Here is a 26123-nt window from a genome sequence, read left to right as displayed (position 1 = left end):
ACATCACTGATCATTAGAGAACTGCAAATCAAAACCATGAGATACTATCTCACACTAGTCAGAATGGCTGCTATTAAAAAGTCAAAAAATAGCAGATGGTGGTGAGGTTGAGGAGAAATAGGAATGCTTATACACTGTTGGTAGGAGTGTAAATTAGTTCAACCATTGTGTAAGACAGTGTGGTGATCGCTCAAAGACCTAGGGGCAGAAATATCATTCAACCCAGCAATCTCATTACTGGGTATATACCCAAAGGAATATAAATCATTCTATTATAAAGACACATGCACACATATGTTCAACACTATTCACAATAGCAAAGACAATGACTCAACCTAAATGCCCATCAATGGTATAAAGAAAATGTGGATAAAGAAAATGTGGTAAAGAAAATGTGGCACCTGTACACTGCAATAAAGAAAATATGGTACCTGTACACCATGGAATACTATGCAGCCATAGAAAAGAGTGAGATGAGTCCTTTGCAGGGACATGGATGGAGCTGGATGCCATTAGCATTAGCAAACTAATGCAGGAACAAAACCAAATACTGCATGTTCTCCCTTATAAGTGGGAGCTAATTGACAAGAATACATGGGCACATAGAGAAGAACAACACACATTGGGGTTTATCAGAGGGTGGAAGGTGGGAGGAGGAAAAGGATCAGGAAAAATAACTAATGTGTACTAAGCTTAATACCTGGGTTATGAAATATCTTTATAACACATCTCCATGACACAAGTTTACCTATATAACAAGCCTGCACATGTACCCCTGAACTTAGAAGTTAAATATATACAAAAAATGTCAAACCTACTATAATCTTTCAAATGGTTTCACTTAAAAAGCTAACTATATACCATAGTATTGAGAATTCAATAGAACTTTCTTTGAAAATAACCTAAAATATTATCACAATTTTTCACCTAGTTTTTTTTTAAAGTTGAAGTTTTTCTTCTATTCCTGCCCTGAACTTATTTCAAAATGCAATATTTTGAAAATACTTTGTTCTGTAATAATACAGCATATCCAAGTGAAATTTTAATGCCAGGAATATATTTAAAGCTATGGTTCCCATTGTGAAATATATGCCTTTGAAATACACAAGGGCATCTATGTAGACAGTCTAACGGTAAAGAAGATAGATAACAAAAGTGCTAACAAGAACTCCTGCATTTAAAAAGAGTGTATGTTTAGTCATTGAAAATTGTTTTAGGGGACAAAATATATGCTATTCATTGATATAAAAATAATTTTCAAATAAACAATGATATACTATTTCCCTATGAAGAGAAAGAGATAGAGATTTTTGAATGAGCAAACATATTTTGGAAAACATGCATTTGAATAAATCCTTATTTCAGAGTAATAAAGAAAAAATATTTATACACCTTGTAGTTTTGATAGGCAGCACATTTCCAGTCTTTGCTCATGAGAATATCCATAGAGTAGACATGCTTCTTGTAGTGCACTTTTATACCACTTCTTTTTATTCTTACACTTTTCTGGCTATATAAATACAGAAAAAAGAAAAAAATTCATTTTTAAATATATAACTTTGTTTTAAAATCCACTTATTAAGCTGGAACAAAATCTAATTTGGAGCATTGTATAACGTATTTCTTAGACTTTCGTATCTAATTATTATTTTAATATTATTTTAGAATTCGGCAAAATTGTGAAAATTTTGCAAGTTAATAGTCAAAGGGTCAGATGTTTGGTTCACTAAGATAATCATGATAATGTTATTCATCTCACACTTAGGAACTTACAAAAAGGCCCTCAGCGTCACAAAGTAGTTAATATTAATAGATTTAATAAGAATAATGTTGATTTCCTTTTAAAAAACATAGCAATTATACTAAAGTGGTACAAATTGAAAATCAAGTTTCTTATTAGAAGAAAATTAATTTGGCAGGGTGCAGTGGTTCACACCTGTAATTCCCAGCTACTTGGGAGGCTGAGGTAGGAGAACTGCTTGAACCTGGGAGGCAGATGCTGCAGTGATGCGAGATTGTGCCACTGCACTCCAGTCTAGGTGAGAGAGTAAGACTCTGTCTCAAAAAATAAAATAATAAAAAATAAAAAATTCTATTCACATCTAGTTTTAGTGTTACAGCAGATATTAACATATGCATACAAATTTCTTAAACCTTCTGTGCCCTAGTTTCTTTATCTAAAAACTGTGAATGATAACACTACATACATCATAAGGTTTCATGAGTATGAAATAAAATAATAGATTATAGTTTCATGGCATAATAAGAACTCAGTAAGTTATTTTACTTGGATACAGCACATTTTCTAAATGCATATTTAATTTTCAAAAAATATATTTTAAGAAGAAAAACAAAATGAAAAAATATCTGGGTCAAAAATAAATGTTAAATTGACCTAGTCCAATAATGTTTTCAGTGTTATTTTAAAACTCAGCAAAAAGGATTTTTATAATGTTTTTAAATGTTATATTTATAAAATGCATGCCATCATTTTCATTTTGAATACCAGCAAAAGGAATATGGCTATTTATTTTATTAACCTATAATTAACACCTATCTATAAAGATTATATTTTTCTCTCAGATGTATAAGATAATTCACCCTTTACACAGAAGTGTAAATCTATATAAGACCCATATTGAATTAATTCAGAGAATGAAACTATATATTTAAAGCTCTTCTCAAATGTCACCATATTCTTAGAGTCCCCAAATTAATATCAACTCTGTGCTCCCACTACACATAAATACTTTCATTTATTGATTTACTACTTTCTGACTTCTATTACAGTTATTTGTGTTCATGACATCACTACCCATAAAATGAAAGGTCCATGAAGATGGAGGCAATACATAATATTTTATCTTTGCATCCTCCACAGTACCCATTTGCCTATACCTCATGGTATATTATACAAAGTATTCAGAAAGAGGCTGATAAATTGCATTTGGTCCTGGGCACTGATTAACTTGACATAAAAGCAGTGAAACAATAGGATCAAACAAAACTCTACTTTTGGACACATAATCTATGAATTTCATTCATTAAGTAAGTTATTTCATAGGAAACAGATGAAAAGAGGCAGATACAATTCACTAAATATTGGAAATTTTAAATTATTTTAAGGATGTCTAAGCTAGCCTTCACAGATTTTAGACATTTCTGCAAGTCAAATGTTATAATATTAAATTAGAAATTATGGTGAAAAATCACTTTAAAGCTTATAGCACTAAACAGTTCCTACACTATTCTGTATATAGGAATAGTGTAGGAACAGTTGCTATAATATTCCCTAAAGCAGGGGGTCAGACCAGTACTAGTCCATGACCGGTTAGGAACTGGGCGGCACAGCAAGAGGTGAGTGGGGGATGAACAAGCATTACTGCCTGAGCTCCACCTCCTGTCACGTCAGCTGTGGCATTAGACTCTCATAGGAACATGAACCCTATTGTGAACTGCACGTGGGAGAGATCTAGGTTGTGTGCTCCTTATAAGAATCTAATGCCTGATGATCTGTCACTGTCTCCCATCACCCCCAGATGGGACCCTCTAGTTGCGGGAAAACAAGCTCAGTGCTTTCACCGATTCTACATTATGGTGAGTTATATAACTATTTCATTATATATTACAATGTAATAATAATAGAAATAAAGTGCACAATAAATGTAATGTGCTTGAATCATCCCAAAACCATCCCCTTTCCTTCCCCCAGTCCATGGAAAAATTGTCTTCCATGAAACTGGTCCCTGGTACCAAAAAGGTTGGAGACTGCTGCCCTACAGAAATAGTATAAGAAAATAATTAAAGAAAATTCTTGAGAAAAATCAGTGCCATATAGCTAAAATAAACTTTGATGACTTAGGGGAACTGAAAAGGTTTGTTTTAACACTTGTGTCTGGGAGTCTTTGAACTTATCAGTAGGCATGTGCCACCTAGTGGTACTACAAATTAAAACCTCCTAAGGAACTCAAAAAACTAAGGATCTATTTTAAGAGGAATTTTAATTTCCAAATTAGGCTCAACTGTGCTTTGCATTTTTAAATTACTTTTTTTTAATTGAAGAAGGGATAAGGTGCAAATTCTCACAATATAGAATGTGCCTTCTTTCCCATCCCAGGTACTACTTCTCCCAAAATTACTATTACTAGTTTCTTTTACAGTCTTCCAGAGATATTATATATTTATAGAACTATACAATTTATATAATATTATATATTTCTACAACATATAAATATATAATGAATGTTAGGAATAGTTATATATAATTGATTTTTTAAATTTTCTTGCAGATTGAATTTATTGATTCAACATATTCCAGACTCTCAGGATCTATCATTGAAGAAAACAGACAAAGCTTACATTGTAGCCTATGAGAAGAGACAATATATAACAAGCATAAAACATAAGGCTATAGTGTAAGAGGTGATAAGTGCTCTGTAATAAAATGTAAGGCAAAGTCAGGGTGATCATGAGTGCTGAGGGGTGGGTAATGAGTGGTCAAGGTAACTCTCATCAAAAAGGTGAATTTAGGCCATGATCTCCCTGAAGGAGGGCAGGAAGTTAGCCATATATAAATCCATGGAAAGCATACTCCAGGCAGAGAAAAAAATCCTCTAATGTGGGAGAGTACATGTATATTAAAGAAGCATCAAAGAATCCAGTGTAGCTGAGTCTAAACGATGAAGAGAGAGAGTAATAGGAAATGATTTCAGAAAATTAACAAGGGCCACATCATCAAGGCCTTTGCAAGCCATTGTAGGGTCTTTGGCTACTACTTTGAGTGAAAATGGCACCATGGCAGAGTTCTGAGCATAAAAGTAATATTTGATTTGAATTCCTGTTTTTAAAGAAATCATTCTCATTGCTTTGATGAGGAAAGGCTATACAGAGGCAAGTATAGAAGTAGGACAATTAGGAGGCTATTGCAATAATTTATGCAAGAAATGATGGCAGTGTGGACCAGGGCAGTAACAGTTACTGTAGTAAAAAGTGTTAGGATTCTGGACATAATTTGATGATAGAGCAAAAAGCACGTCCTGACCACTTGAAAACTGGTTTTGGGAGAAATGGAGGATTACTCTAGGACTTTCAAACTCAGCGGGCAAAAGGATGGAATTTGCTCTCTACTGAGATGAAGAGTCTGTCAAGAAAGAAAGATTTGTTGGAAGATCAAGAGTTTGGGGCGGGCGCGGTGGCTCATGCCTGTAATCCTAGCACTTTAGGAGGCCGAGTTGGACAGGTTGCCTGAGCTCAGGAGTTCAAGACCAGCTTAGGCAACATGGTGAAACCCTGCCTCTACTAAAAAATAAAAAAAATAATAATAAAAAGTTAGCCGGGCGTGGTAGCATGTGCCTGTAGTCCCAGCTACTCGGGAAGCTGAGGCAGCAGAATTGCTTGAACCCGGGAGGTGGAGGTTGCAGTGAGCCGAGATCCTGCCACTGCACTCTAGCCTGGCAACAGAGCGAGACTCCGTCTCAAACAAACAACAACAACAACAACAACAACAACAACAACAACAAATAGTTCAGACATACTGACATGAGACTTCTCAATACCCAAGAGGAAGATAATTATGACATCGAGGTGGAGATGTCAAGTAGCAGTTGGATATGAAAATTCAGGACAGAAAACTTACCTGCAGATAAACTTTAGGAATTACATATACACATACACAAATGCGCATGTGCGCGCGCGCGCGCGCGCACACACACACACACACACACACACACACACACACGCTGTATTTAAAGGCAAGAAATATGGATGAGAGAACTGAAAGAATGAGAAAACAGATGTATGTATATCCACATATGTGGCATATATGTACCCCTATTTATTTGACAATGCTCAACTGATGGACACTTAGGTTGTTCCTAATACGCTGTTGGAAGCAATGCTGAAATAAAAACATTTTGTCCATATGTCATTTTGCCCACTTGAAAGTATACTGAAAGATAAGTTCCAAGACATAAAATTACAGGTTTAATGTATGTATATTTTAAATTTTGGAGGTTATTGTGAAATCACTTTTGAATGAGGAGGTCAAAGTTTACAATGCCACAAGCAATATATTTAATATATTTCCCCACACCTTGCAGAACACTTCTGTTCCGAGTTTTGACATCTTTGCCAATCTTTCTTTTATTAATTTTTAATTTTTGTAGGTACATAGTAGGTGTATATACTTATGGGTTACATAAGGTATCTTGATACAGGCATGTAATGTGTAATAATTAGATCAGGGTAAATGGGGTAGCTAACGCCTCTAGCATTTATCTTTTGTGTTACAAACAATCCAATTATACTCTTTAGTTATTTTTAAATGTAAAATTAAATCATTTTTAACTATAGTCACCCTTTTGTGCTAGAAAATACTAGGTCTTATTCATTCTTTCTATTTTTTGTACTCATTAAACATCTCCACATCCCCCTGACACTCCATTAACCTTCCCAGCCCGTTAACCAACCTTGTACTCTTGATATCCATGAGTTCAACTCTTTTAATTTTTAGCTCCCACAAATAAGTGAGAAAATGCAAAGTTTATCTTTCTGTGCTTATTTCACTTAACGTAATGACCTCCAGTTCCATCCATGTTGTTGCAAATGAATGGATCTCCTTCTTCTTCATAGCTGAATAGTATTCCACGGTGTGTTCCACATTTTGTTTAACCATTCATATACTGATAGATACTTAGGTTGCTTCCAAATCTTGGCCACTGTGAACAGTGCTACAATAAACATTAGAGTGTAGATTATCTCTTCAATAAACCGATTTCCTTTCTTTTGGGTATATACATAGGAGTGGGATGGCTGGATCATATAGTAGCTCTATTTTTTTGTTTTTTTTTTGCGACAAAGTGTTACTCTGTCACCCAAGCTGGAGTGCAGTGGCATGATTTCGGCTCAGTGCAGCCTCTGCCTCCCGGGTTTAAGCAATTCTCCTGCCTCAGCCTCCCAAGTAGCTGGGATTACAGGCATGTGCCATCACACCTGGTCAACTTTTGTATTTTTAGTAGAGATGGAGTTTGTCATGTTGGGCGGGCTGGTCTTGAACTCCTGACCTCAAGTGATACAACCACCTTGGCCTCCCAGAGTGCTGGGATTATAGGGATGAGCCACTGCACCCAGCCTACTTTTAGTTTTTGATGAACTTCCAAACTGTTCTCCATAGTAGTTGTACTAATTTATATTCCCACCAACGCTGTACAAGGATCCCCTTTTCTCTACATCCTCACCAGCATTTGTTATCGCCTGTCTTTTGGATATAAGCCACTTTAACTGGGGTAAAATAATATCTCATTGTAGTTTTAATTTGCCTCTCTGGTGATCAATGATGTTGAGCACCTTTTCATATGCCTGTTTGTCATTTGTATGTCTTCTTTTGAGAAATGTCTATTCAAATCGTTTGCCCATTTTTTTATTAGATTATTAGTTTGTTTTTTTTTTCCTATAGAACTGTTTGAGCTTCTTATATATTCTGGTTATTAGTCCCTTGTCAAATGGGTAGTTTGCAAATATTTACTGCCATTCTGTGGGTTGTCTCTTCACTTTGTTGATTGTTTCCTTTGTTGTGCAGAAGTTTTTTAACTTGATGTTATCCAATTTGTCCACTTTTGCTTTGGTTGCCTGTGCTTGTGGGGTATATTACTCAAGGAATTTTTGCCAAGACTGATGTCCTGGTGAGTTTCCCCAAAGTTTTCTTGTAGTAGTTTCATAGTTTGAGGTCTTAGATTTTAGTCTTTAATCCATTTTTATTTGATTTTCATTTATGGCGAGAGATAGGGTTCTAGTTTTTCTTCTGCATATGGATATCCAGTTTTCTCAGCAACATTTATTGTAGACTGTCCTTTTCCTAATGTATGTTGTTGGCACCTTTGTTAAAAATGAGCTCATTGTAGATGTATGGATTTATTTCTGCATTCTCCATTTGTTCCACTGGTCTGTGTGCCTGCTTTCATGCCAATACCATACCATTTTGGTTACTATAGCTCTATAGTATAATTTGAAGTCAGGTAATGTGATTTCTTCAGTTTTGTTCCTTTTGCTTAGGATAGCTTTGGCTATTCTGAGCCTTTTGTGGTTACATATAAATATTGGGACTCTTTTTTTCTATTTCTGTGAAGGATGTCATTGGTATTTTCATAGGGATTGCATTGAATCTGTAGATTGCTTTGGGTAGTATGGACATTTTAACAATATTGATTCTTACAATCCATAAACATGAAATATGTCTCCATTTTTTTCTGTCCTCCAATTTCTTGCATCAATGTTTTACAGTTTTCATTGTAAAAAATTTTCACTTTTTTGGTTGAGATAATTCCTAGGTATTTTATTTTATATGCAGCTAATATAAATGGTATTACTGTTTTATTTATTTTTCACATTGTCCACTATTGGCATATAAATATCCCACTGATGTTTGTATGTTGATTAGTATCCTACAACTTTCCTGCATTTGATTATTAGTTCTAACAGCTTTTTGGTGAAGTCTTTAGGTTTCTCTAAATATAAGATGATATCACCTGCAAACAAGGATAATTTGACTTCTTCCTTTCCAATTTGGATGCCCTTTATTTCCTTCTCTTCTCTAATTGTGCTAGCTGGCACTATGTTGAATAACAATGGGCATCCTTGTCATGTTCCGTATTTTAAAGAAACGGCTTTCAGTTTTTCCCCATTCAGTATGATACATACCAGCTGTGTGTCTGTGGTTTTTATTATATTGAGGTATGTTCCTTCTATACCCAGTTTTGTGAGGTTTTTATCATAAAGGGATGCTGAATTTTATCAAATTCATTTTTAGCATCAATTGAGATGATGATATGGTTTTTGTCCTTCATTCTTTTGATATGCCACACTGATTGATTTGTGTATGCTGAACCAATCCTGCATCCCTGGGATAAAACCCACTTGATCATAATGAATCATCGTGTTAATGTGTTGTTTAATTATATTTGCTAGTATTTTGTTGAGGATTTTTGCATCAGTATTCATCAGAGATACTGGCCTGTAGTTTTCTTTTTTGATGTGTGTTTGTCTGGTTTTGGTACCAGAGTAATACTGGCCTCATAGAATGAGTTTGAAAGTATTCCCTCCACTTCTATTTTTTGGAATAGTTTCAGTAGAACTGGTATTAGCTATTCTTTAAACGTTTCATAGAATTCAGCAGTGAACCCATCAGGTTCTTGGTTTTTCTTTGCTGGGAGACTTTTTATTATAGTTTTTATCTTGTTACTTGTTATTGGTCTGCTCAAGTTGTGGATTTCTTTGTGGTGCAATCTTGGTAGGTTGTACGGTCTAGAAATTTATCCATTTCTTCTAGATTTTCCAATTTATTGGCATATAGTTGCTCATGGTAGCCACTAATGAGCCTTTGAATTTCTGTAGTATTGATTGTAATGTCTCCTTTTTCATCTCTGATTTTATTTATTGGGTCTTATCTCTTTTTTTCTTAGTTAATCTGGCTAAAGGTTTGTCAATTTTCTTTAGCTTTTCAAAAAAAATTGTTTTGTTGATATTTTGTATTTTATGTTTCTATTTCATTTATCTCATCTCTACATCTTCAATATTTATTTTTTTCTACTAATTTGAGTAAAAGAAAATCAGTTGAGTTTGAGTTTTGTTTGCTCTTGCTTTTTTAGTACTTTACAATGTATCATTAGGTTGTTTATTTGAAACTTTTCTTCTTTTTTAATTTAGGCACTCATGGCTATAAACTTCCCTTTTAGTACTGTGTTTACTGTATCTCATAGGTTTTGGTATGTCATGTTTCCATTATCATTTGTTTCAATGAATTTTTAAATTTCCTTCCTTTTTTTTTTTTTTTTTTTTAAGACGGAGTCTCGCTCTGTCACCAGGCTAGAGTGCTGTGACGCGATCTCGGCTCACTGCAACCTCTGACTCAGTGGTTCAAGCAATTCTGCCTTAGCCTCCCGAATAGCTGGGATTACCGGCATGCGCCACCACACCCAGCTAATTTTTGTATTTTTCATAGAGATGGGGTTTTATTTACCATGTTGGCCAGGATGGTCTCGGTCTCCTGACTTCATGATCTGCCAGCCTCGGCCTTCCGAAGTGCTGGGATTACAGGCGCGAGCCACTGCACCCGGCCTAAATTTCCTTTTTAATTTCTGCATTGAACCACTGGTTATTCAGGAGCATACTGTTTAATTTCCATGTGTTTATATAGTTTCCAAAACTCTTCTTGTTATTTATTTCTAGTTTTATTGCATTGTAGTAAGAGAAGATACCTGACATACGTTCAATTTTTTTGAATGTTTTAAGACTTGTTTTGTGACCTAACATATGGTCTATCTTTAGAATCATCCATGTGCTGAGGAAAAGAATGTGCATTCTGCAGCCATAGGATGAAATGTTCTGTAAATGTCTATTAGGTCTATATGTTCCAAAGTGCAGACTAAGTCTGATGTTTCCTTGTTGATTTTCTGTCTGGAAGATCTATCCAATGCTGAAAGTGGGATGTTGAATTCTCCAGCTATTACTGTATTGGGACCTATCTATCTCTTTAGCTTTAATAATATTTGCTTTATATATCTGGGTGCTCCAGTGTTGGGTGCATATATATATACATATATATATCATATATATATACACACATATACATGCATATATATATACATATTTACAACTGTTATATCCTCTTGATGAATGAACTCCTTTATCATTATATAATAATCTTCTTTGTCTCTTCTTACAGTTTTTGTCTTGAAACCTATATTGTCTGGTATTAAGTATATCTACTCATGCTCTTTTGTGGTTTCCACTGGCATGGAATATCTTTTTCCATCTTTTATTTTCAGTCTACCTGTGTCTTTATAAGTGAAGTATGTTTCTTGTAAGCAATGGATCATTGGACCTTATTTTTATATCCATTCAGCCACTCTATGTCTTTTGATTGGAGAGTTCAGTCCATTTACATTCAATGTTATTATCGATAAGAAAGGACTTACTCCTGCCATTTTGTTATTTGTTTTCTGGTTGTTTTACAGTCTTCCTTCTTTCCTTCCTTCTTCTCTTCCTTTTAATGAAGGTTATTTTTCCTGGTAGCAAACTTAAATTTATTGCTTTTTAATTTGTGTACCTGTTGTATGTTTTTTGATTTGTGATTACCATGAGGCTTGTAAATATTATAACCCATTATTTTAAGCTGATAACAACACTGCTTACATGTTCTTACATGTAACAAACTAATAAGCAAAAAGAAAACACCTCTGAACTTTAACTCCTTCCTCCCTCTTTTTAACTTTTTATTGTTTCTATTTATATCTTATTTTACTCTCTATGTCTTGAAAAGTTGTTGCAGTTACTATTTTTGATTGGTTCATCTTTTAGTCTTTCCACTGAAGAGCAGTTTACACAACACAGTTAACAGTGTTATAACATTCTGTGTTTTTCTGTGTACTTTCTATTGCCAGTGAGTTTTGGATCTTCAGATGATGTTGTATTGCTCAGGAAGATCCTTTTCTTTCTGATTGAAGTACTCTTTTTATCATTTCTTGTAGGACAGGTCTGGTGTTGAGGAAATCTCTCAGCTTTTGTTTGTCTGGGAAAATCTTTATTTCTCCTGCATGTTTGAAGGATATTTTTGCTAGATATGCTATTCTAGGGTAAAAGTTTTTCTACTTCAGCACTTCAAATATGTCATGCCACTCTCTCCTGGCCTGTAAGGTTTCCACTGAACAGTTTGCTGACAGGTATATCGGAGTACCATTGTTTGTTATTTGTTTCTTTTTTCTTGCTGCTTTTAGGATCCTTTCTTTATCCTTGACCTTTGGAAGTTTGATTATTAAATGCCCTGAAGTAGTCTTCTTTGTGTTAATTCTGCTTGATATCCTATAATATTCTCATACTTGGATACTGATATCTTTCTCTATGTTTGGGAAATTCTCTGTTATTATCCCTTTAAATAAATTTTCTACCACTATCTCTTTCTTTACTTCCTCTTTAAGGCCAATAACTGTTAGATTTGCCCTCTTGAGGCTATTTTCTAGATATCGTAGGTGTGCTTCGTTCTTTTTTTTTCTCTTTTGTCTCTTCTTTGTATTTTCAAATAGCCTGTCTTCAAGCTCATTAATTCTTTCTTCTGCTTGATCAATTCTGCTATTGAGACTCTGATGCTTTCTTCACTATGTCAATTGCATTTTTTCAACCCAGAACTTCTGCTTAATTCTTTTCAATTATTTCAATCTCTTTCTTCAATTAATCTGATAGAATTCGAAATTCCTTCTCTGTGTTATCTTGAATTTCTTTGAGTTCCTCAAAACAGCTATTTTGAATTCTGTCTGAAAGGTCACGTATCTCTTCAGGATTAGTCCCTGTTGCTTTATTTACTTTGTTTGGTGAGGTCATGTTTTCCTGGATGGTCTTGATGCTTGTGCATGTTCATCAGTGTCTGGGCATTAAAGAGTTAGGTATTTATTGTAGTCTTCACGATATGGGTTTGTTTGCACCTGCTGTTTTTGGGAAAGCTTTCCAGGTATTTAAAAGAGCTTGAGTGTTGTGATCTAAGCTGTATCTGCATTAGTGAGCCCCGTAAGCCTAGTAATGCTATGGCTCTTGCAGACTCATAGAGTGTTGGATAAGATCTAGAAGAATTCTCTAGAATATCAGGCAGAGACTCATGTTCCTTGACTTACTTACAAACAAACAGAGTCTTGCTCTCTGTGAGTCACCTGGGGCTGGGGGTGAGGTGACACAAGCACCCTTGTGGCCACCACCACTGGGAATGCACTGAGTCAGATCTGAAGCCAGCACAGTACTGGGTCTCACCCAAGGCCCACTGTAACCACTACCTGGCTACTGCCTATGTTCTCTCAATGCCATAGAGATCTACAATCAGTAGGTTGTGATTGTTTTTTAAAAGCCATTTATATTTTCTTTTATATGGAATGATGATTCAAGTCCTGTGTTAGTACGTATAATGGTCTTTTTCTTACTGACTGTAAAATAATATTTTTATATATTTTTTAAATATCCCTTTCCTCTATGTACTACAAATATTCTCCTCTGTTTGTAGTTTGTATTTTAGTACTTTTGTGTTTTCTTTTTTGTTCATGTAAGTCTTTCTTCCTTGTAGAACTAGTTTGGACATTTTTTTCCGCAGGTTACTATTTGTACCCATCCCATTTATTAAACAATACAACTTTTCTTATTTGAATACAACCTGAACCATTAACTATACTTTCAAGTACTTTTGAGTTTATTTGTGGAATTTCTATATATTTCTATTAATCTGTCAAATCACTATTAGTACCATATTGCCTTAACTAGTGACATCTTGTTATATCTATCATATTTTATAGGCCTAACTCTCTCTTTTGTTCAACCTTCCAACAAATTTATAATTAGTTTGTCAAAAGTCTCAATTGTTTTTTTTAATTGAGATGGCATTTAAATTAATTTAAGGAGAACTGACATCTTCCATATTAAATCTTCCACATCAAGAAGAGAAGAGGATTATATCTTTCCATTTACTCATGTTTTATTTTTATTTTTATTTTTATTTTGAGACAGAGTCTTGCTCGTCACCCCGGCTGGAGTCCAGTGGTGCAATCTCGGCTCACTGCAACTTCCACCTCCTGGGTTCAAGCAATTTTCGTGCCTGAGCCTTCCGAGTAGCTGGGACTAAAGGTGTGTGCCACCACACTTGGCTAATTTTTGTATTTTTAATAGAGACAGGGTTTCACCATGTTGGCCAGGCAGGTCTTGAACTTCTGACCTTAGGTGATCTGCCTGCCTTGGCCTCCCAAAGTGCTGGGATTACAGGCATGAGCCACCACAGCCAGTCTCGGGCTTTATTTTCTGTTTCTTAGCAGCATTTTGAAGTTTAATTCACACAGATCTTGCACATTGCTTCTTAGGCTTACACCAGTGTATTATTTATGTTTTGTTGCTATTATAAATGAGAATTTTAGTCTCTTCATATTTTCAAAATGGTTACTTCTTTATTTTTTCCTTCCAACTTTTATTTTGGGTTCAGGGGGCACATGTTCAGGTCCATTACATGGGTAAATTGTGTGTTATGTGGGTTTGGTGTACAGATTATTTCATCACCCAGGCAATGAGCACGGTACCCAATAGGTAGTTTTTCTATCTTCATTGTCCTCCCACCCTACTAGAAGATTGCCTCAAGTAGGCCCTGGTGTCTACTGTTCCTATCTTTGTGTCCATGTGTACTCAATGTTCAGCTTCCACTTAGAAGTGAGAACATGCAGTATTTGGCTTTCTGTTCCTGCACTGATTCTCTTAGGATAATGACCTCTGACTCCATCTATATTGCTACAAATGACATGATTTTGTTCTTTTTATGGCTACGTAGTATTCCATAGTGTCTATGTACTACATTTTCTTTATCCAGCCTACCAATGATGGGCATCTAGGTTGATTCCATGTATTTGCTATTGTGAATGATGCTGTGATGAACATTCATGGGCTTGTGTCTTTAAGGCAGAAAGACTATGACCTGACACACTACTGAATTTTCTTATGCTTTTAATCGTTTTTTCCTATTGTTTATAATAGTTTTGTTTACCATAGTTTTTTTTTGTTTGATTGTTTGAGTTCCTTGGGTTTTACAGGTATATAATTGTCTACAATAATGTAATTTTTCTTCTTCCTTTCTTGTGTGGGCACTTTTGATTCTTTCTTTGGTTAATTATATTAGCCAATTAGACCAGAATAATATTACATAATAGTAGCAATCCTACCTACTTTTAAAAATTCAAATTTCCCACCTGAACAACCAGTTTTTTCTCTAATTAAAATAAAAATGTAAAATGAGTTCATGTTCTTTTCGTGAGATGTTGAAGTAATTCGCATTTATTTAACTCCATTATTTTGAGAAGTTAACAAACAAGTTTGTTTGAAATCATTCTCATAAACTTAGCTCTTTTAGACATTATCATAATCTTTCAATTTGAATCTTTCACTGAAAGGCTTCTGGATTGACAAGAAAGAAGCAAAGACTCAGCATCTCACTAAATATAATAGATTCATTCCATATACTAATTACTGGATAAAGTTTGTGAAAGATGAATGAACATCATGCTTGAATGAACTACAGTAATACCATTATGGTTAAGTTCCATCTTAAAATACAATAGCATTTAAAGAGATAAATATTTGGTTTGGAACACATTTATATTATATTTTAGAAACAAATTAGCAAAGGAAACAAAGCTGTTTTATAAATAAGGTAAAACTAAGGTAAAAACTACATTTAGAAAAATTATCTTTTGAAAGCATGGAAACATTTACATTTACCTTTCTAACCAGCAATCAAATAGATAATTAAGTTCATATTTAACAAATAATTATTCTCAAAGACAAATACTATTCAAAATAGGATTCAAGCTTAAGCAGAAAGCAACTGCCATTCAAACTTTTTCAACTGTAATCCAGATGTTTCTTAAGCCATGGCTAAAATCTACAGCAGTTCCTGTGATGTTTCTGATAACACTAAAATAATAAAATGTCCTGAAATTAGTTTTACTCCCCCCAATATTAAAAATCCAAAGTGTCCTCTAGCATGTAAGAAACAAAATTCTAAGCTTCACTTCAAGTTAAAGCTCCTGTGCCCTACAAGCTAGGGGTACACTTCAGGCTGCCAGTGGTTCTCCTTGTCCATCTATGCTTCTTCTTCTCCCCCACTATGTTCTGAGTCCTCTGTGGCTGAAAGAGTTAGATATGGAGAATACAAAAGAAATTGCAGAAAATATATTTATTTGTCTTCTATTATGGCAATCTAGGATTGGTGCTCTCTGGGCTTGAAGTATTTTTTTTTTACTACAGTGTGCTTTGCGGGTTGTTAGAGGGTCTTCTCTCCCAACTAGGAACATCTGATTGCCAACTTCCTCGAGAGGAACAATGTCTTTTTTTTAGTTGGTTGCTTTCAACCTATATCTCATTATCATATTCTGCCTCTTTCTGCTTAGGTTGCATGAAGGCAGGAAGCCCTTTTGGGTGAAGACCCTTTTAAACTGACCCCTGGCTCTTCCCATGTTGTCTGCATCATTGCTCCTGAAAACTGGAATAATGCTGGCCATTCCAGTGCTACCATCTGTCTTCAGTTTTCAGTGTGTAGATTTCTCAGGGAGAAGTTTTATATCAATATACTGTATTGCTCAAGCTCCAAGACACATTCATCAGGCATTCAAAAAAATAAAAAATAATAAAATAAACAAAAAAACACCCTTGTACTACACATGAGGTAAAGAAAAATGGCCATCTTCTTTTCCCCAAGATAGGGAGGAAGGAGGTATAGAGAAAATGCCACAATATACCAAAATTTCCTCCCCCAAAATTTTCCTTTTGATTTCTTTTCATTCCCTTTCCTTCTCTTTTCCTTCCCTTCCCTTTACTTCTCTTTCCCTTCTTTTCTCTCTCCCTTCCCTTTCTTCTTTTCTTCTCTCCTTCCTTCCTTCCTTCCCTCCTTTCCTCTGTCCTTCCCTCCCTCCTTCTTTCTTTCAGAGGGTCTTGCTCTGTTGAACAGTCTGGACTGCAGTGGCATGATCATAGCTCACTGGACCCTTGAACCCCTGAGCTCAAGGGATCCTCCCACCTCAGCCTTCCAAGTAACTAGGACTACAAGCATGTACCACCACCAAAAAATTTCTGTATGTTCAACCTCCACCCTTTTATAAAATTGGGTTAAGGTATGCCAAGCAAGTTTGGCACCTCCTTGTAAATCCTGCATACATACTCTTGTACCTCACTTTGCAATGCAAAAATAATTATTTTTGTACTTAGCTTGAGGTTCTAAAGACTTTCACTAAAATCTGAGTATATCTATTAATTTTAGAATTTTCAAATAAGCTTCTCTCCCAACAGCAAAACAGACAAATTTTAATTTTTTTAATTTAAAATTTAAATTTAAACATTTTCAAGGCAGCTCTGTAGTAAAAACTTCCAAGAACCTAGCTTATAAAGTCAAGGGTTAATACCAGTAACTCCAGATGAGACCATAGGAAGGAGTGGGTATCATGATCATCACATTCCAGTAAATCCTATGATTCCAAGAAAGGATATTATATCCTTAATATGTTTATATTACTTTGGCAACTTGAGTTTTCTCAATCAGTTTTATTAAATTTTCAGTGGAGGATAAAGGAAGTAATAATTATAGAAAGAGAAGAAAGACACTTAGACTAAAAATTTATGTAAACTTATGAATATAAATAAGATTATTTTTGATAAATGAATAAGCATGGAAATGTTTGGAGCAAGAGTGAGGTTTGAGACTAAACATACGGCTAGACAGAGAAGATAATGCTCTATGTCTGAGAAAATCCCTAGCTGTGTCCAAAAGTGAAAAGTTTGTAAACCACTGTTCTATGTGATCTTGTTTTAATCAGGTATTATTGACCAACTGAAAGCCTTAACCTCATTTTTCCTTTCCCATTTCCTTAAGGAAGAAGTTGAATGTCTCTTTTCAATAACTTTGGACTCGCTGAACAAGGTTTGTGCTATTTCTGCATACTAATGTGGAGTAACAAAATTCAAGGAAAAAAATACATAAGGGTTTGTCCACCAGTGAGGCCCGTGGAGAGAAATTTGCAATCTGGCAGAAATTCATGTCTTCTGTTGTTTCCTATTTTAAGACTTTTTTCCTCTACAAGAGAAATAATCAAGATGTAATAAATAATAACCTGGGGTTGTAGCAGGATAAATCTTAATTTTCAAACTTGAATGTATAAGCAATGTCATATTACCTCATATTTGCAAAATCAAATTGAATGTGACAGTGCTCATCCAACCAGGATAATAAGAAATTTGATCTCTGTCATTTTGGGGCCACCTTTTACATTCCCTAGGTTCACATAAATCAGAAAGTCATTGTGCCTAAAAGGTGCTTGAAAAATGAGGGCAGATCACTGCTCTTCAGCCCATCATGGTTACATGAATATTATTTTTGTTCAAGTCCCTCGAAGTTAGGCAGCCCAACACCTTCTTTGCCACACCTTCACAAAAGAATCTTTTCAGAGTCTAGGAGCCTTGATAGCATGGGTTCAACCTCCCTGGGTATACCATGGTGCTATTCTTCTTCAGGGTACTGCCACATGCCCAGGGCACTGACAGACTTCTGTTCTCTTCCAAGTGTGAGAGACTATCTTCTCTGTCTTGCTATTCCTGTGTCTCCCTCGCAGTGGCCCTGGCCTTTGTGTTCCCAGTCTGCCCTGCCCACCCTCAAGGAACTCAGATCCGGAAAACAAGGAAACCCTGCTTTTGACCACCACAACAGAAAACTCCCCTGACATATGAGAATGTAAGGGGCCTGACTACTTTTCGCAGTAAAAGAAAGAGAAAAATACAATCAAGAAAAAATTATTAACAACCAACCACTGGTGTCTGGTTAATTGTAGGGAAGAATGTCCTAGCTATGTGGCTTTGAATATTAGAATAGATAGGGAGGTGACAGTCTTTCCTTCCCACCCCTTGGTATTCTACTTCTTAACTCTGCCTATTGTTTTCCCCTAATTTTTCTACATAGCACTCAAAAATAACTAACATACTATACTGTTTTTCTTATTTATTTATTTATTACATGTCTTATTCCACTAATTTAAATTTTATGAGGGCATTCAATTTGGTCTATTTTGTTCACTTTGGAACCTAGAAGAATTTCAAATAATAGGAGTTGAGTAAATATTTATTGAGTAGTATAAATAGATATATTTCGTTCAAGGTGGCATGAAAAACAACCCAGTCAGGAAACTGGAGATGAAAATGAAAGGCTGCTACATTTTTTAATCCTGAATTATGTGATTAGCCTCTACAAAGGAAAAAGAAAAATTTATAAACATAATGATCACCTGGTATTACAGTGATACTAAAATAATATAAAACTTCATTTTGGGTAAACAATTTAGGTCTGTAAAGTATTTCATAGGTCACTGATTTATCCTCTAGTATTGGTAGCACTTTTTTCTTGAAAAAAATGTGTGTCTAATGTCAAGTATAATATTATACAAAAAATGGTACCTAACTTTAAAACTAAAGTAATTCAATCAAATGTTCTTAGTATGACCAATCTGGGGGGTGGGAGAACCTCATAACAACACTCTAGGTACAATGACAACATCTATAATCTAAAATTATCAATTCAAATATCAATATTAAAGCTAACTGCAAATATAAGCACCTTCAATTTAGAAAATTTATCTTTTAGACACAATGTTTATATATTTAAAATCTGGAAAACTGGAATCACACATACTTACAATCTTCTTTATAGAGCTTCAAAAATTCATTGGTATGATTTCAAATATTGATCATTACTTTAAATTATTTCTTATATGTCTGTAGCAACATGTGGATATAAGTCATAGATCTCATAATCTAAAGAAATAAAAAATTATTATCCTTTGGACTGCATCACCACTAAATGTTTAAAAACCAACACTACCACCTATTATAAAGTATCTGCCTAGAGATTTATGTCAATTACTGCTATTTATACATTCAAAGTTGCAGTGTAGCTGACTCTAACCATGTATTGCACTGACGCATCATTCTATTTACTATTGTACCAAAGCTATCGCTCTTTTCCTCTGTTGGGCAGATCGTTTTCACTTAAAGCAGTTCAGTAGAAACTTAATCACTAGGATATCTTGTCTTCTTTAAATTGGATTTCTGCAACAGCAACCAGTAATCCAGACAGTAAGAACATTCCTGTTCCTTTGATACAAACTGGAAGATTGCCACATTATACCCATGTGCATCAGAGAATCCATAGATTTAGTTAGCCTCCTTGGCTTTCTAATAATATCTGCCTTCCCACTCACCTGTCACTTTAACATAGGTTCATACAATCTTCAAATAATCAAATATGGTTTATTTAGACAGCTTATTCAAATTATTGAATACTTGAAGCAAATATTGCTTAAAAACTATTACTGACTTGTTGCTTACTCTGCTTAAGTTTCCTACAGACACAAATAGTAATTTTGCTTCCTTAACCCAGCAGAATTTTAAGATCAAAACAACTTATGTACCCCACTCTTCATGCCACTGGAAAGTGTAAACTATTAAAGCTAAAAAAAAAAAAAAAAAAGTCTAGCTCTGTTTAGTGTGACCCCTTACATCAGATTGACAGATAATGCCAAGAATGCAATGGGCACTAGAGAAGAAATTAGCCAGAGAAAAATAATTAGAAAATTTGGGAGTCAAATCTTTATAGTGTAATTCCATTACTTGGCTTGAAATATTGGAAAATATCAAGACAGAAGACCAAATTCCTAACTGGGTACTCCCTGCAACATTGCAGGTAGGGCTGGGGAGGTAGGAAATGAAGCAGTTTATGATAAAATGGCTCCAATGAACCAATCAGAAAAATCACAAGGTACTAGATTAAGCTTTGTATTCACCTAGACTTTAACATATATTTACTAAAAGTTTTGAATATCTAAGCTCTTTTCCTATCTAGAAGGAATAAACAACTGCTACATGTGGCAATTTTTTTTAAAGAAGCCCCAATCTGACATTTTAGGTTTGTCCACTATCTGGAGTGACATCCTTTTGGAAAACAATTTTTATATCACCAATATGCCAGTCATACAGTGTGATAGACCTGAAATCAGATTTTGAGAAGAGAAAATGAGAGGGCTCTGGATGTCACAGCAGAGAGAAAATCAGGCACCACCAAAAGAAGAAACATATTTAAAAGGACAAGGGAGTTTAATGTCACAATCCTGCCCAAGATTTTCCTGGCTTCTTCAGTACCACAGCTTCATAAATACTTTCATACATTCCATAGAGTAAACACAATAAACACAATACAAACAATACACTTTCACATAAATATCTTCTTTAGTTAATTCCAGTACCACACAGAAGATATTTTGGGAAAATAATCTGCTATACAGTGGTTCTTGAGATTTACCAAGGAGAGTGATTTCAAGAATACGTTTTTTGTTTTTTGTTTTTTTTTTTCTTTGGAGACAGAGTCTCGCTCTGTCACCCAGGCTGGAGTGCAGTGGCGCAATCTTGGCTCACTGCCACCTCCGCCTCCCGGGTTCACGCCATTTTCCTGCCTCAGCCTCCTGAGTAGCTGGGACTAGAGGCGCCTGCCAGCATGCCTGGCTAATTTTTTGTATTTTTAGTGGAGACAGGGTTTCACCGTGTTAGCCAGGATGGTCTCAATCTCCTGACCTCATGATCCACCCGCCATGGCCTCCCAAAGTGCTGGGATTACAGGCATGAGCCACCGTGCCTGGCCAAGAATAGGTATTTTTAAGGAGCTCTACAGCAGAATGTGACGACCAGCAAGCCTGGGAACCAAGAGTAGATCAAAACAAACAAATATAAACAAACAAAAAAACACAAAACGAACAATGGCAACAGGATAACAACATTTGTATTAATAATAACCAGTTACTGCTATGTTAAAAGGGAATGAAATAAATCCTAGGTTTTAATGACAACATGAAGAGCCTTCAAATCCATGGCAAGAAATCAATGCGCTAAGCATGACGAAAAGACCTTTCACATCTTTATTCCAACTTTGAAAGACCCTGGTTAAAGGTTAAGCTAATTAATCAGGTTGGCTGAATTAACAACAGTTGATCAATAAGAAGGCCTGTGCGGCTTTCCAGTTTACAAATGATAGCTTATTATGAATTTGGTATGCTTATGAAGATGAGAAGCAGATGCCCCGATGTAAATTTCAAGCAGGTTGACATACAGTATAAAAATCTGGAGTTTGTAATCATAAGATCTGGGCTTGAGTCCTGGTTCTGCTGCTGTGTAACCTCAGGCAAGTCACTTAACCTGAACCTCAGCATTTTTAACAACAAATGAAGACTATGTGAGATTATCATTTGATGTCTACAGTCCAAAAAATGAGATAGGCACTCTATTCACAATAGAGAGAAGTTGGCTGTGTATATATTTAATTTCTATAGGAGTTCTACAATTTAATGAACCTAATATTTTAAACTTACTAAGTTCTTCAATGCTCATATAGTACTGACAGGCACCATCCTAAGCGCTTCACAAATAACTCATTTAGCTTTTTAACAAGCTTATAAAGTAGGCACTAGAATCCTCATTTTACAGATGAGAAAGTAGAGGCACTGAGTTTAGAACTTGCATAAGTTTACATAGAGAGTAAGACAGAGCTGTAATTCATAACAGACAACCTAGAGAGTTTGTGTGTTAAGCTGCTACAAAACGATATTGTTTCACTACAAGGTAATTCTAATGCCTAACTATCAAAGATGGTGTTATAAAGAGTTCCTTAGCCCATATCATAAAAAAATAAGTGGTGTTGAAAATGATGAGAAACTGCCATTTGTCATTTTCTGTATCAGGTCACTTTTATATTGCTTAGGAAAAAAATTTTAGGACAATTAATCATAGTTAAAAACTTAAATCACCAATGAACTGTACATTTAAAAATGATTAAGATGGTAAATTTTATCTTATATCTATTTTAATACAATTTTTAAAAAGAATAAAAACACTGTGTACAGTTTAAAGTATTTTATATATTCTGCTTTCAAGGTGTAGAATTTTTATTTTTAACAAAACTGAAATTCATCAGGTCTGTAGCAAAAAAAAGTTGTAAACTCTGCTATGTAAAATGATAGTGAAGTATTAGTAATATATTGATGAATACCGCACAAGAAGCAAATGAGCATAGTGTCAATAGATAGTTTTTAAGGCCAGTGCTTATCTAAAGTGCTGCTATCTTCCACTGCTCTAGCCAGGCAGACTGCTGCAGGTAGAGACATTAAATAGAACTGCAAGAAGTGTACAGGTTTAAATCAGCCATGGAATAAGCATGCACTCATTTGCACTAAGCCTTTAAAAACTCAGGATTAGCCTAAAAAATTTTAAGCCACAATATTAATGGATATCAAGACCTGAACCTAAAAAAATGTTAGTATACTTGGATGCTATTTTCTACTCCATATTTGCTTATTTTTTATAGAATATGTGTTTAAGGTGAAACTCTAGTTGTGTTTATTACAAACAGGTGCTCAGATTCTATGTTTAATGATAGAATCATAAGGGCAGGTGGGAAATCTAGGTAAAGAAGATGGTTAAATATGTGATGCAGAATCAGTACATATTCTGTGAGCTAAACAAATGGTAAAGAAGTGATAATTCTAAATTTATTTTCAAAACTAGTTTAGTCAGCACTGTTTAGGATTTGGGGATACTGGATTTCACCTAATTCATGGACCGGACCTGATCCTTTACTAGAAGATACTTTAAAGGAAAGATAGAGGGCAGAGGTATAAAGAAGAGATGATGCCATTCCTACTGACACTATTCCAAAAAATAGAGAAGGAGGGACTCCTCCCTAACTCATTCTATGAGGCCAGTATCATCCTGATACCAAAACCTGGTATAGATACAACAAAAAAAGAAAACTTCAGGCCAATATCCTTGATGAACATCAGTGCAAAAATCCTCGTCAAAATACTGGCAAACCAAAGCCAGCAGCACATCAAAAAGCTTATCCACCATGATCAAGTTGGCTTCATCCCCAGGATGCAACGTTGGTTCAACATATGCAAATCAATAAATGTGATGAATCACATAAACAGAACTAAAGACAAAAAACACATGATTATCTGAATAGATGCAGACAAGACCTTTGATAAAATTCAACATCCTTTCATGTAAAAAACTCTCAATAAACTAGGTATTGAAGGAACATACCTCAAAATAATAAGAGCCATAAAAGACAAACCCACAGCCAATATCATACTGAATGCAAAAGCTGGAAGCATTCCCTTGAAAACTGGAACAAGATAAGGATTGCCTCTCTCATCTCTCCTATTCAACACAATATTCGAAATTATGGCCAGGGAAATCAAGCAAGAGAAAGAAATAGTATTCAAATAGGAAAGGAGAAAGTCAAATTATCTTTGTTTGCAAATGACATAATCCTATATCTAGAAAACCCCATCATCTCAGCCCAGAAGCTTCTTAAGCTGATAAGCAACTTCAACACAGTATCAGGACACAAAGTCAATATGCAAAAATTGCTAGCATTCACCAACAACAGGCAAACCAAGAGCAAAATCGCAAATGAATTCCCATTCACAATTGCCATAAAAAGAATAAAATACCTAGGAATACAGCTAACAAGGGAAGTGAAGGACTTCTTCAAGGAGAACGACAAACCACTGCTCAAAGAAATCAGAGAGGACAGAAACAAATAGAAACACATCCATGCTCATGGATAAGAAGAATCAATATCATGAAAATGGCCATACTGACCAAAGTAAGTTATAGATTCAATGCTATTCCCATTAGACTACCATTGACATTCTTCACAGAATTAGAAAAAGCTCTTTCAAAATTCATATGGAGCTGAAAAAGAGCCTGAATAACCAAAACAATCCTAAGCGAAAAGAACAAAGCTGGAGGTATCATGCTACCTGACTTCAAATTATACTACAGGGCTACAGTAACCAAAACAGCACGGTACTGGTACCAGAACAGACACATAGACCAATGAAACATAATAAAGAACCCAGAAATAAGGCCCCACATCTAAGTTATCTGATCTTAAACAAAACTGACAAAAATAAGCACTGGGGAAAGGATTCCCTATTTAATAGAAGCTACTGGGAGAACTGGCTAGCCATATCTAGAAAATTGAAACTGGACCCCTTCCTTACACCATTTACAAAAATTAACTCAAGATGAAATAAAGACTTAAATGTAAAACCCAAAACTATAAAAACACTGGAAAAAAAAAACTAGGCAATACCATTCAGAACATAGGCATGGGCAAAGATTTCATGACAAAAGTCAAAAGCCATTGCAACAAAAGCAAAAATTGACAAATGGGATCTAGTTAAACTAAAGAGCTTCTGTACAGCAAAAGAAACTATCAACAGAGTAAACAGGCAACCTACAGAATGGGAGAAACTTTTTGCAATCTATTCATCAGACAAAAGTCTAATATCCACCATCTATGAGAACTTAAACAAATTTATAAGAAAATAACAAACAGCCCCATTTAAAAGTGGGCCAAGTACATGAACAGACACTTTTCAAAAGTAGACATACATGCCGCCAACAAGCATATGAAAACAAGTTCAACATCACTGATCATTAGAAAAATACAAATCAAAACCACAATGAGGGACCATCTCACACCAGTCAGAATGGCTATTACTAAAAAGCCAAAAAATAACAGATGCTGGTGAGGTTGTAGAGAAAAGGGAATACTTCTACACTGATGGTGGGAATGTAAATTAGTTCAACCATTGTGGAAGACAGTGTGGTGATTCCTCAAAGATCTTGAGACAGAAATACCATTAGACCTAGCAATCCCATTACTAGGTATAGACCCAAAGGAATAAAAACACTCTATTATAAAGACACATGCACACATGTGTTCACTGTAGCACTATTCACAATAGCAAATACATGGAATCAACCTGGATGCCCATCAATGATAGATTGGATAAAGAAAATGTGGTATACATACAACATGAAATACTATGCAGCCATAAGAAGGAATGAGATCATGTCCTTTGCACAGACATGGGTGGAGCCAGAGGCCATTATCCTTAGCCATTTAATGCAGGAACAGAAAACCAAATATTGCATGTTCTTACTTTTAAGTGGGAGCTACATGAGACCAAATAGACACAAGGGGAGAGACAACACACACTGGGGCCAGTCAGAGGGTGGGGAATAGGAAGATGGAGAGGATAGGGAAGAATAGATAGGGGATGCTGGGCTTAATACCTGGGTGATGGGATGACCTGTGCTGCAAACCACCATGGCACACACTTACCTATGTAACAAACGTGCACATCCTACACGTGTACCCCTGAACTTAAAATAAAAGTTAGAAGTGAAAAAGTAAGATGAAGAAGTATAATGCGTACTCATGAAAGGGAATAACACTTGCCTGTAATGACAAAGATAACAAAGGAGGAAATCCACAAAATTTAATAGTATATCCTCCTCTTTCTTACAAATATTTGCATGACCTAATATCTCATTTTTAAAAATGCTAGGACATCATACTCCCTACATAAGTCCTGCTTCATGATATCAGCACTATTAATGCAATATATATGTCAAGCTTTATTAAAACTCCTTTTGATGTGTAAAAATAAGGTAGAAGG

General features: G+C 35.2%; 1 protein-coding gene across 4 annotated transcripts in view; it reads right to left on the bottom strand.

Annotated features, from left to right (window-relative positions):
• Nucleotides 1–26123, bottom strand: part of ZCWPW2 (zinc finger CW-type and PWWP domain containing 2) — a 177638-nt gene that overhangs the window by 46035 nt on the left and 105480 nt on the right. For 2 of the 4 annotated variants that reach the window (NM_001040432.4, NM_001324169.2), the window contains one exon: nucleotides 1393–1510. The exons of the other annotated variants lie outside the window; for them this stretch is intronic. In NM_001040432.4, coding sequence (NP_001035522.1) covers nucleotides 1393–1510 — 118 coding nt within the window. The remainder of the gene's footprint in view (nucleotides 1–1392; nucleotides 1511–26123) is intronic. 4 annotated transcript variants of the gene reach the window in all.

This window comes from Homo sapiens, chromosome 3, assembly GCF_000001405.40.
Source record: "Homo sapiens chromosome 3, GRCh38.p14 Primary Assembly".
NCBI lineage: Eukaryota > Metazoa > Chordata > Mammalia > Primates > Hominidae > Homo > Homo sapiens.
Note: the sequence above shows the minus strand (reverse complement) of the source record. Positions and strands in the feature narration are given on the sequence as shown.